This window comes from Homo sapiens, chromosome 7 (assembly GCF_000001405.40).
Source record: "Homo sapiens chromosome 7, GRCh38.p14 Primary Assembly".
Taxonomy (NCBI): Eukaryota; Metazoa; Chordata; class Mammalia; order Primates; family Hominidae; genus Homo; species Homo sapiens.
Genome location: NC_000007.14, coordinates 157,383,446 through 157,396,437, shown reverse-complemented (window position 1 = coordinate 157,396,437; position 12,992 = coordinate 157,383,446). Strand labels below are relative to the sequence as shown.

At 43.8% G+C, this 12,992-nt stretch overlaps 1 protein-coding gene across 11 annotated transcripts in view, besides 1 other annotated feature; it reads right to left on the bottom strand.

The window, feature by feature from the left end:
- Nucleotides 1-12,992, bottom strand: part of DNAJB6 (DnaJ heat shock protein family (Hsp40) member B6) — an 80,436-nt gene that overhangs the window by 21,002 nt on the left and 46,442 nt on the right. For 9 of the 11 annotated variants that reach the window (NM_058246.4, XM_006715823.3, XM_005249515.4 and 6 more), the window contains 2 exons: nucleotides 11,430-11,571; nucleotides 10,827-10,897 (listed from right to left, as the gene is read on the bottom strand). The exons of 1 other annotated variant lie outside the window; for it this stretch is intronic. In NM_058246.4, coding sequence (NP_490647.1) covers nucleotides 10,827-10,897; nucleotides 11,430-11,571 — 213 coding nt within the window. Of the gene's footprint in view, nucleotides 1-10,113; nucleotides 10,898-11,429; nucleotides 11,572-12,992 lie in introns of those variants that run through there. One more of the 11 variants, NM_005494.3, reaches the window with a different exon arrangement.
- Nucleotides 5,593-6,193: an enhancer, noted in NCBI's record as "H3K27ac-H3K4me1 hESC enhancer chr7:157182939-157183539 (GRCh37/hg19 assembly coordinates)". NCBI's record gives its function as "activates a minimal SCP1, AML or CMV promoter by ChIP-STARR-seq in primed H9 embryonic stem cells {active_cell/tissue: H9 hESC(primed)}" and the evidence as "EXISTENCE:reporter gene assay evidence [ECO:0000049][PMID:30033119]".

The following is a 12,992-nucleotide window of genomic DNA, read 5'->3' as shown; positions in this document are numbered from 1 at the left end:
TAACTGCCCACTACATAAAGTCTAAGTGTGATTTTTATTGAAGGAACTCTTTATAAACGGAACCCTAGGCATCTAAGCGTCCTCAAGAAACACGTCGCCCTGAGACTGCCCCGCTCCCTGGTTAGGCTGAGGCGCTGGAGGGATTTAACTGTTGCCCACTTAATCATTAAATCTTGAAAAGGAACATGGGGCCAGGCACAGTGGCTCACGCATGTAATCCCAGCACTTTGGGAGGCTGAAGCGGGCAGATTGCCTGAGGTCAGGGTTTTGAGACCAGCCTGGGCAACATAGTGAAACTCTGTCTCTCCTAAAAATGCAAAATATTAGCTGGGCGTGGTGGCACACACCAGTAGTCCTAGCTATTCAGGAGGCTGAGGCATGAGAATCGCTTGAACCCAGGAGACGGAGGTTGCAGTGAGCCGAGTTCACTTCACTGCACTCCAGCCTGGGTGACAGAGTAAGACTACGTCTCCAAAAAAAAAAAAAAAAATTACAGGCTCAAGCCTGTAATCCCAGCACTTTGGGAGGCCAAGGCAGGTGGATCACTTGAGGTCAGGAGTTCAAGACCAGCCTGGCCAACAGAGTGAAACTCTGTCTCTACTGAAAATATAAAAAGAATTAGCCGGGTGTGGTGGCACAGGCCTGTAATCCCAGCTACTAGGGAGGCAGAGGTTGCAGTGAGCCGAGATCGCCCCACTGTACTCCAGCCTGGGCGACAGAGCATGACTCCGTCTCAAAAAAAAAAAAAAAAAAGAAAAGAAAAAACGTAGAATGAATGTTGTAACTTTTGCAGACTCGCATATTCACAAAATTTTATTTTTCTAAAGACATCTGAATCTTATTCCACATAAAAATGTAATGACAAGTCATTCTAGTTTCTTCTCAGAGCTCCTCTGTCTTCCCATCAGGGACTTCCATAAGAAGGCATACACCACCCAGATTCAACCTCCAACTGCCTCTCCTGAAGCTCATCAGAGCTGAGAAGGCCTGAGCTCAGGAGCCCAAAGCTAAGCTCCTGCATACGCAGGAAAAACAGAGAAGCTGCCCATGCAATTCTCTTTAAAAGACAGACAAAAGCAGAACTAGATATGTTAATGTTAAAAGTCAGATAACAGATGAAACGATGAATTCATGTTAGAGCTTTTCATTCAGTTGCTATTGCTTTAACTACATTAAGTGGCCAGATGTGCCCAGCACCAACCCCCCCCCAGCCCCCTCCCAAAATGCTGCCCATTAAACGTAGTGCTCTCAAGTATGCTTCCAGCCCTGGTAATACCGGATGGGGAAGACAAACAGCTAACTCTCTGCTTTCTGGGGTTTTTTGGGAGGTGGGGGGGCGCGGCGGGCACAGGGTCTTGCTCTGTTGCCCAGGCTGGAGTGCCGAGTGGTGCAATCCTGGCTCACTGCAGCCTTGACCTCCACCAGCTCAAGCAATCCTCGCACCTTAGCCTCCTGAGTAGCTGGGACTAGAGGCGTGCACCCCCAAGCCAGGCTAATATTTTCTATTCTTTGTGGAGACAGAGTCTCACCACGTTGCCCAGGCTGGGCTCAAGCAATCCACCCGCCACGCAGCTCAGCCTCCCAAAGTGCTGGAATTACAGGCGTAAGCCACCACGTCTGGCCCACTTTCTGTATGGTTCTAAGCTCCGCTGAGAGGCGGGGACAAAATCTGCTCTTGTGATGTGTTGCTTCTTCACAAGAGGGAAATCGCACCCATCCTTAACAAATGTACTCATGATGGGCAAATCCCAATAAAGTTCCTCCCAAAAAAGCTGCAGACAAGCAAATCATTAAAAATTAAATCACAATTCATCATGGAGGAAGGACAAATTGTCCATAGAGGAGGAAAAAGTGAGGCCACTTCACACAAATGTTCTAGATGGATTCATATTTTCAACTTTTTTTTTTCTGAGACAGGGTCTCACTCCATCACCAGACTGGAGTGCAGTGGTGTCATCACGACTCACTGTAGCCTCGACCTCCAGGGCTCAAGCGATCCACCCACTTAGCCACTCAAAGTGCTGGAATACAGGCGTGAGCCACCACGCCTGGACTTAAACATTTTTTAAGGTAGATACACAGGGGCAGCATTTCTTAAGCAAGATAGAAAAAAATCCAGTAGAATACAAGCTCACAGAATTGACAAGGCAACATCTGCTGTTTCTTAACCCTTCCTTCCAAAAAATAGATGTCATATGGGTTATTTTTGAATGAAAATAGAAATTTAAAAGAACGACTTAGAAGTCAACAAAAATGTTTTACAAGTCGAACTTAAAAACAATTCTTAACATTCCTATTTATGAACAAAAGTACTGCAAATAAATATTCTGCAGAAGCACAACTAACCAAAATAGGAAGAAAAACTCAGGATAATAATAAGATATGAGAAAGGTATTCTTTTGAGAGAAACTAAACCAACAGGAAAACACTTGGAAACCTTCAGACACGGACAAATGTAAAGAATGAGAAAGGCGCATGATCACAGGCCTCAGAACACCGTGGATGCTTCCAGTGAACACATAAATTAGCAAACTGATATGAAAGAAAACCCCTCAACAAACCAGCTTAGGAAATAAAGTTTTCTGAGAGGCTCTGAATGTTCCCAACACAAAACAGTAACTGTGAGGTGGCTCTGCCATTAACCCCAATCTGATCATCACCCACTGCACACATGCACCCCGATCTGATCATCACCCACTGCACACATGCACCCTACAAATACGTACAATTACTATCAATAATTTAAAAACATTTTTAATGATTAAAAAATACCAGTAACTAGGAAATGTGCACGAAACAAATGACTTCACAGGCAGCTGAACCTGGTGTTGGGGTAGGCAGGGCATGGACGGCTCCCAACTCACCCTCCTCAAGATCACAGGGCCGGGAGCTTCACCCTCTCTACAGAATCTAAAACCCAAAGTAAAATCAAGGTACAAGAGAACCCAACAGTGCCATGTAGAGGAATTTTGGGACATAAACACAGTAACTAATCTTTCTCAGAAACATAATCACACAGTAAAATACTAAAATCAGCCTGCTGGAAAACAAGACAAAAATACTTATATCAATAAGAAAAATAAGGGTAAAAATTAGAAAATTTATAGAGTTTTCCAATTGTAAAAAATATGATATTCCAATTCTTTTTTAAAATCAGAATAGGCGAGGCGCAGTGGCTCACACCTGTAATCCCAGCACTTTGGGAGGCCAAGGAGGGCGGGATAACTCGAGGTCAGGAGTTTGGGATCAGCCTGACCAAAATAGTGAAACTCCGTCTCTACTAAAAATACAAAAAAATTAGCCAGGGGTGGTGGCAGGCGCCTGTAATTCCAGCTACTCGGGAGGCTGAGGCAGGAGAATCGCTTGAACCCAGGAGGCAGGGGTTGCAGTCAGCCGTGATCACACCACTGCACTCCATCCAGCCTGGGCGACACAGCAAGACACTGCCTCAAAAAAATAAATATAATAAAATCAGAATACCAAGACTAAAGTGATGAGATAAAAAGCAATGTAAGGCGTACCGACTTCCTGGTTTTCCATAAGTTAGAACAGAAAACACACACAGACGGCATTCCCAGCTTCATGTAGTGATACAATGAGGAAATGTGCACACCTACATATTAAGACAGCACTTTACAGCTGTCCGTAAAACAGGATGTTAAAAAAATTAGTCTGCCACATGGCTCTCGGGTGTCAAAGGCTCTCCCAAATCTACATGGGGTGTTCCTCGCACTGACTGCACCTTTCATTTGAAAGCACGACGAAGACTGGCCTAGAAACGAGCTGGAAAGGAGCTGCGCTTCCGGATGCACACACTGCCATCCATACAGGGTGCAAGAAACCAGACAGGACGAGAGTCCGGCAGAAACGCGGGCAAGAAATCTGGGACAAAGCTGGCTGTTTCCCACACAACAACCTTTCCAAATAAATAAAAGTAAACACACACAGGATTACAAAATAAAAATATGGGGCAGCTCTGTAACAGGCACACGCACGCACACACACATCTGTGTAAATAATTAAGACTACCACACAGTAAGTCACGTGAACAAAAGAAAAACCAAAAAAAAAAAAAAAACCCACTTTCAACACAGCAGGCTAAAGACTAATCAACTAGCATGTAAAGGGCTCCTATAAAATCAAGAGAGTAAGTCCACAGAAAAAGAGGCACACGCAGGTGACACAAGATGCTTGCCCTGGATAGCCAAGACGCAAATTTTAGAAACTGTTGACAGACAGTACTAGCAAGCGTGAGGACACAGACCCCAATCCGTTGTTGATAGGAGAAGACTCCTTCTAAGAAATCATTTATGACTATCCTTTTTTTTTTTTTTTTTTGAGACAGGGTCTCCTTGTTGCCCAGGTTGGAGTGCAGTGGCTCGATCACGGCTCACTGCAGCCTCATATCCCTGACTCAAGTGATCCTTCCACCTCAGCCTCCTGAGTATCTGGGACTACAAGCGCACGCCACCAAGCCCAGCTAATTTTCATATTTTTTGTAGAGACGTGGTTTGACCATGTTGCCCAGGCTGGTCTTGAACTCCTGGGCTCAAAGCAATCAACCCACCTCAGCCTCCCAGAGCACTGGGATTACAGGCATGAGCCACTGCGCCTGGTAACTTACCGATTTTCAATGCACACGTTTCTCAAGCCAATTACTCAACTTCTAGGTACCTAATTTAACCAACTGCTCCTGCAAGTACATAAGACTCTACACAAATACCTTAAATATTATGTGGAAAAGGACATCAATATTTTGCCAGGATCCACGGAAGACTTGGGCTGAGACCCAGTGGGTGCTGCCACCAGGCATCCGCCATGGATGGGGACAACTGTGCCCAGCCACTCACTAGATAGACCACTCATGCTGGGCACAGACCCCAACTGAGGGAAACTTGTCTTTCCTGCTTGGCAGGGACTGGCAGGGAAGGCTCAGCCCCCAGCAGCCACCGCAGGAGGCCGTGTCCAGTGCCAATTCATCTGTGCAGGGACCACTGACCCATGGACACGGAAAGATACGGCTGAAAAGACTCGTGGAAAACAGCACTTTCTCGTTCAAGTTCTGCAGCTGACTTTCTCAGAGGCCTGGCATTATGTAAAGCATCCCTGGAAGTTTTGGGTAAGAGGTTACTTGGCTTAGAGCTGACGAGCAGCAAAGTTCTCAATTTGGCAGAAATGTGTGTACGAAACGTGTCTCACGCAGGCTGCAAACTCCACAGTTCCCTGATGACCACACCCCGAGCTTCTGCTCCAACTGCTGTTCCTACCAGCAATGTCCTGACATCTGGTGTAAAATGCTCTGGGCTGGGAGTGGGGGCTCATGTCTGTGATCCCAGCACTCTGGGAGGCCAAAGTGAGTGATGCGCTCGAGCCCAAGAGTTCAAGACCAGCCTGGGCAACACGGCAAAACCCTGTCTCCACTAAAAATACAAAAAGTTAGCCAGGCGTTGTGTCGCACACCTGTAGTCCCAACTGCTTAGGGGCTGAGGTGGGAGGAATGCTTGAGCCCAGGAGTTGAAGGCTACAGAGAGCTGTGACTGCACCACTGTACTCCAGCCTGGGTTAGAGAGAGAGAACTGGTCCAAAAGTTAAGTAAAATATAAAATAATATAAAGGAATGAATGAATGCATGCTCCAGGCCTCAGGAGCCACATCTCCCCCACACGCCATTATCAATTAGACCCTGTCCTTGGGCAAAGCACTTTTTGCCAACTCAGGGCAGCTGTGGGAAGGCAGAGGAAAAGGTCACCTCTCAGAGCTCGCAGCACAGCGCTGACCACACGGGAAGCAAACCACATCCCCTGGGTGAGACGGGCAGGAAGGAGGCTCCACCCCACATTTCTGCAACAATGTTTCAGCAGCAATGTTTCAGCACCAAAGCCTCCTTCAGAAAACCTCCGGTCTCTATGGTTTTGCAAGTTCTGGAAGTGATTTCCCATCAGTGCCTGAATGGCAGTCAGTTCAGTAACCAGCTAGGGGGAAGAGGAAGGACCAGGCGGGGGAATGGGATGACAGCGCTGCCCTGTTTAAGAGAGAAACCAACCTAACAGGGCAGAAAAGGACGCGATGTTAACAACTGCAGTGTGGCATCAACACTACACAGACGTTTGCTAGTCAGGGCTCCCAGGAGTGGAGAATCTTTGTAAAGCCAAGACGCAGGTCCTTCGGATCCACATGGCAAGCCTCCAACAGCAGGCTGGGCCGCAGGTCGCACAGCAGGAGGGGTGTGGGGAGTAAGCCTCTGCTCTACACTCCAGGCAGCTGTGGTCCAGGGCATCTCTGAATCAAGGGCTGTGGGACAGCAACCACCATCTGGGTTTCCGCAGCCAGCACTCACGGGATGCTTCCAGGGCACACCTGCCAGGACACAGCAGCAGCCAGACAGACGAGAATTACTGCCTTCACAGGACCTGCATTCCTGTTGGGGTTGCACTCCGAGGCAGGAATCTTCTCCCAATCAGGGTACAGGGAAAAGGGCAAAGCGCAGTCAGGGGTCTGCCCTGAGTGTGCAACTTGCCCAGGCCACAAAGCTCAGAGTCGAGTCCTTAGTGAACAGTTAGGTAAGACCGACTGATACCCTGCACAAAAGGCAGCAAATACTGACCAAAGCACAGAAGCCAGGACAGGCCTTCTAACGCCCAATCATAAACTCTGCTGTCTCTGGAAATCAGTGACGTCTAGATTTCTAACACAGGAATAGCTGCTGTGACATTCCCTCTTTTCACCTTTTTAAACAGGAAGACGAAATAACGTAGCCAAATGACAGACTTCGGTCTACCCCATTTCAACCATTGGTCACACTTTAGTACCAAGGCCTACATCTAGCTCCCCCCACGTCCCTAGAACAGCTAGGAATACCATATCCAAAGGCTTTGAAATCAAGACCCCAAAGGGTAAGATCTCATGCCTTCGTTTTTAAAAATACAAACAGCAGTGGGTTATGTAATTCAGTCCCCTCCAGACCCCACGAAACCAAGTATTCAAATCAACTAAACATAATTTTGTGCTTGAAAACCTCCGAAATAACAACATCTGCCTCCATTCTGTCACTGAACATGCTAATGGCTAAATTTCAACACTGCTGCCAATCAATAACAGAGATAATATGCCAATTATTTATTACCGTTGAATCCTCTGCAAATAAAAATGTTTCTAATTCATTCTATAGTGCTTAAAACAAGATCAGTATTCCCGGAAAGAAATGATATCTAGAAGGTAATCAAGACAGGATAAGCAGGCATTTTTCAAGCTCTAATTAATAAACAGAAATTAAAATTGATTGGAAAGACAATCACCCCACAGTGTTCCTCAAGCGTTTCCACATTGTAAGGAACATTTACTTCAGCACACTAGGTGCACAGGTAAGTTTAGCAAATGGTGACACTAACTCTACCCACTTCTAAAATCTACTCATTGAAGGACTTCCAAGAGGAAGAATGACAAGTCGCCCATGATGCCACTATTGATTGACATCTTTCAGATTATTTAAAACCCCGAGTTTCCAAAATCAAGCCTGGAATCTTTGGAATCTAAAAAGCTTAAATTTTATAAAGGATAGAAATATAAGGAATAATCCATCACTCAAATCAAACCAACGGGGTGGGGAGCTACAAGGAATAGGAAAACAGGAGATGACAAAAATACAGATTATTGAGCCCTCCAGACAAAAGGATGCCAAACAGGGATTAAAAAACTACACTTTGGGTACAACATACACTGCTTGGGTGACAGCAGCACTAACATCTCAGAATTCACTATATAATGCATCTACGTCACCAAAAACCACTTACCCCCCCCCCAAAAGCTATTGAAGTATTTTTAAAAATTAAAGACTTTAAAAATAAAACTTAAAAAAGAATCTCAAACAGGGAAGTTGAGCACAAACCAAACACAGCAGACAGCACACCCCAGAATGGATGGGACCACATGGGGCTGTGCACAACCAGATACGTGCCGTTAAGGAGCGTTCAGCTTCCTATTTTCAGAGGCGCTCAACACTACAGCAAGTAAAGAGACTGTTGAATTTACCAAAAACTGTAATTTAAATCAAATGCTATTATTCTTCCAAGCCATCACTTACTTGAGTGATGGTATCAATGCTCACAGCCATTTCCTAACTTTTCAAAGGTACTCTCATGCACCCTTAGACTGAATTCTCTAGGAATAAACTTAACGGGGTTTAAAAATGAAAGGTGTAAGATTTGACAGCAACAAATAGGCTTTCTATTCTATTAGTAACTTAATAAAATTACACTTCTATCAATGGAAGAACAGAATAAAAGTAATTTTCTCAGCCAGGCGCAGTGGCTCACGCCTGTAATCCCAGCACTTTGGGAGGCCAAGGTGGATGGATCACTTGAAGTCAAGAGTTCCAGACCAGCCCTGACAACATGGTGAAATCCCATCTCTACTAAAAATACAAAAATTAGCTGAGTGTGGTGGTGGGTGCCTGTAATCCCAGCTACTCAGGAGGCTGAGGCAGGAGAACTGCTTGAACCCGGGAGGCAGAGGTTACAATGAGCCAAGATCACACCACTGCACTCCAGCCTGGATGACAGAGCAAGACTCCGTCTCAAAAAAACAAACAAACAAACAAACAAACAAAACAGTAGTTTTCCCAAGTACAAATGAATGCTCCCTCCTCCTCAAAAAAAAATTTTCACAAGAAAGATTCCTTAGGAGTCAAACATATTTTACCTGTAACACCATGTTGAGTAAACTGTTCACAGCTAGAGTTGCATGAAACACTCCACAAAGTCTAGAACAACCAAATGTGTTCTAAAATTGTGTAGTACCAACGCTATAGCAAAATGCTTCCTAGTTTAAGAATTACAGGTAAAGACTTTTCATTTTCCTGGTATTTCTGGACATCCCTGGATGTCTCAAGGCTGCTGCACTGACTCATCCCACCCACTAATGAAAAATATAAAACGCCTTAGTCCAAGTATCTACTTGAATTTATTTAGTAACAAAAAACCACCCGTCCTGATGGCATAAACAAAAGCGCGCTCTATGATCGCACAATGCTAGTTGTGAGTGGGATTTCCAACACTAGAGGGCGCTGTCCCGCTTTCCCGCACGTGCCATGGCTGCATACCTACCTTATCCAGAGACAGGAAGTGCCGCGTGCTGGGTTATTTCCGACACAACAGACAAGCACATCACTCGTTGTTCTTCTTGTACTTCAACTGTCCCCAATTACTTAACTGTTGCTATGCTTTTTTGAGCTCCTATGAAATTCCTTAAAATATTTTTTACTTATTTTCAGTAACAGCACGTGAGGTTGCTTAAGGGCTCTGGCGTATCCCGAGCAATCTCTATGCCCTCCTGCAAAGCCAGCACGGATGGAACACGCTACGCTGTTTGTCAGGGAACCGCCTGTCCTTCTAGCGGTTTTCACGCTGTTTAGTTCCAAAACAGTTTCAAATTCAGTCAAAGTCTAGTTCAATATTCACTACAGCTAGGATTCTAGTTACCAATGGTAATCATGAAAGATATTACAAACTGAGAAACAAAAGACCTTGACTGTCCCAAAGTGATTTTTTTTTTTTTTTGAGATGAAGGCTTGCTCTGTCTCCCAGGCTGGAGTGCAATGGCACGATCTCAGCTCACTGCAACGTCCACCTCCCGGGTTCAAGCAATTCTTCTGCCTCAGCCTCCAGAGTAGCTGGGATTACAGGCGCCTGCCACCACACCCAGCTAATTTTTCTATTTTTAGTAGAGACAGGGGTTTCACCATCTTGGTCAGGCTGGTCTCAAACTCCTGACCTCAGGTGATCCACCCGCCTCAGCCTCCCAAAGTGCTGGGATTACAGGCGTTGAGCTACCGCGCCCGGATCCGTAAGTGATCTTACATCAAACTAGAACATACTTTAAGAGTGAAAAATTATACAATGGTTTCTTCCCTCTCCTGTAGAAATGTTACCATAATTAAATGTTTGATCAATTGCTAAATCACAACTTACAATATGAAAATCTTCATATACTTCAAATATACTGAAGAAAATGTCTACATGTAACTGAGGTGCGGCATCCACCTGAATGAACAGCACGAAACGCTATTAAAGTGACACTAGAAGCCCAGGCACAAATCATACACAGACACAAAAAAGCTCCAGATCCCACTCAGGAAGAATGCACCAACACATTCGCATTTATTTTCTTTTTTTTTTTTTTTAAAGCAAATGACAAAGACCCAGTTTACCAGCTTTACTTTTTTAAACCTAAGCTTAACATTACATATTTAAACAATTGTCAAAACTTACTAAGTTGCCAGCATTCATGCACAACTAGAAAACATCCTTAATTTATATTAAACCAGAAATGTATTACCATTAATGTATTAATATCTTTCACTACTAAATACTGAAAAAAATTGAAATTATTTCTGTAGAAGAATCGTCCTGGCAATGTTAACTTCACAGCAGGCCGACACTACGTGGCTCACATTTCAGACACAATGAAAAGCAGGTCCATGCTGGTGTTAGTGTACAATCTTGTCCTACACTAAAGAGTCAAGACTCACCTTGGAGTACGTTTAATAAAAAAGCAAAGTGCATACAGAGATTTACAACAATTTTAAAGACAAAAAAAAAATGGTCCTATTATGTGGTCCCAACAATCAACTCAAAAGTCTATGACAAATAGAGGCTCCGATGAGCTGTTTATAAATACTTTAGGTACAATTATACTGAAAGTCGAGTTCGTTTGAAATCTTCAAAAAAATGTTCCTGTTAATCCTCAAATGGTGCTTGTTATAGTTTAACATTTCTGTTAAGTGCGTGCGTTGAATTACTTGTTATCCAAGCGCAGCAGCTGCTCCTTACCATTTATTGTTAAGGACTTTAACTGGCCATCTTCTTCAACTTCTACTCTTTCTTGACCGTTCTCGACAATTCTGTAGGAAAAAAATTCATTTAAAAACCTTTCTGGTAAAGAAAATGCATGTGTGAGGGTAACTAAGTTGTTTAAGGACATTACTGAAATACACCATGAATATAAGTAATTTTCAGGCTGTAAAAACATGGCTGAAGCCAACCTGTCAACAACACATCTTCCTTTCCTAAAATAGAATTAACCTGACAAAATAAATTGTGTCTCAAATACCGTACAGGCGGATGCTAAATACATGCAGAGGCTATAAAACAGTAAAGGCTTTACTATTAATGATTTTCCATTTTACCATTTTAACAATGCTGCAGAAACTTATTACACTGTATTACATTAAAGATTCCCTCTAATAATTCAACAGTTAAGTAAAATTTAAGAGAAAAGGCTTTAATTAATGAATTTGGAGAGCAAAAGATTTTCATGGCGCCAGATTTAGCATACAACAACCTCTACTTCACACTCTGGGAGACGTGCAACATGGCACCAGTGAAACGTTACGCCTGCTTACTAAAAATATAAAATGCAGAATACCACAGTACCTCTTTGTAGTGATTTTTCTGCCATTAACCATTTTAGTTGAAGTTGATATCGATTTGAAGTTGCCCATGCCACTACCACCAAATGACGTGGAAGAGAATGAAGTGAGGCCCCCGTGACCTAGTGACCCAAATGAAGTAAATCCTACAGGAAAACAGAAAAGAAAAATGCTTAAAGAAATATGTCAACTAGTAATGCAAAGACAAGAGTTTGAAAGTTCAGTAGCAGAATATTTAATGTTAAGGCATAGAACCGAGGAGTAATAAACGACGCAACTATCAAGGCCTCAGCTGAAGTGCTGGGGTGCCCAGGGGGAAAGACTGTCTCTCAGATCCCTGAGTGGGGACTCTAGGGCAACGCGAGAGTGCAGCCTCTCCCCTCCCCCTCTCCTCATGCAGAGCTTCGCGGGACCCAAGCAGCTTTTCTGACATGCCAAAGACAGCCCCTGCTTGTGGGTGGTCTGCTTGGCACCATGAAGCACGTGTTGTGTTAATGTGAACATTCTGGAACCGAGACCAGTATTAAGCTCCAACCAGCAGAGCAGCCTCGGTATCAAGCTCTGTTTGCTTTGGCGTGGCTTGTAAACTCCACAGACTGTGATGGACACTCTTACCCCACAGGAACAGAGTGACCTCACCACCACAGAACAGCAAACCTAATCGGCTTCCCTCCTCTTTGCCACAGGACCACAGGGGATAAGAATCTAAATTATTAAAAAACTAAAATAATTGCAGAAAGAATACAAGTATTCGTCTCAAAAAACTATGGTTCTACAGTTCATGAACACCATTCTCAATTATACATTATGGATATTATCGCAGTGTGGACACTAAAAACTTTCACAAGTCACACTAAAGCAAACCTATTTTTCGATATTAAAGCTGGTCTACTGGTTAGAGCTTTTGTCCTGTTTCCAAAATGCTCCCATTAACACAAATGACGCATACCTCTGAACATGATTCAATCATCTAAGCGCAGATACTGTCTAGGGCTGGTGGTGTCCTGAAGAAATATGTGAACCAGGTATGTTAAGTTTACCTTTTCTAATGATTTCACTAAAAAGCAGAAACTAGTGACATTAATTTTAGTATTTTATTTAATACAGTATATCCAAAATATTTCAATTGGAAATACAAAAAATCAAAATCATTTGCGGTATTTTACACTGCTTCCCATGTTCCATCTTTGAAACCCAATGACTATTTCACACTCCTGCTGATCTCCGTTAGGAGTAGCCAGGCCTCCAGGGCTCAGGAGCTACACGTGGCTGGTGGCTACTGCACTGGTCTCAATTAAGCCTCGCTAAGTATTTATTCTTGTGATACTTTGTAAGGCACCTCAGAAGTGGAGAAGGCTTACACCCCCACCACACACACACACACACACACACACACACACAAACACACATACAGGAGCCACTGATTACTTTTAAAAAGGACAATTTACGTGGTATTTTTAACTAGCTTTCTTAACCTGTGGTCAGCATATTCCATGGTATCAAATGAGAGGATCTGTTGAGGGAAAGCACATCAAAACTGAGGTCCAATCGAGCAGAATTCACTACT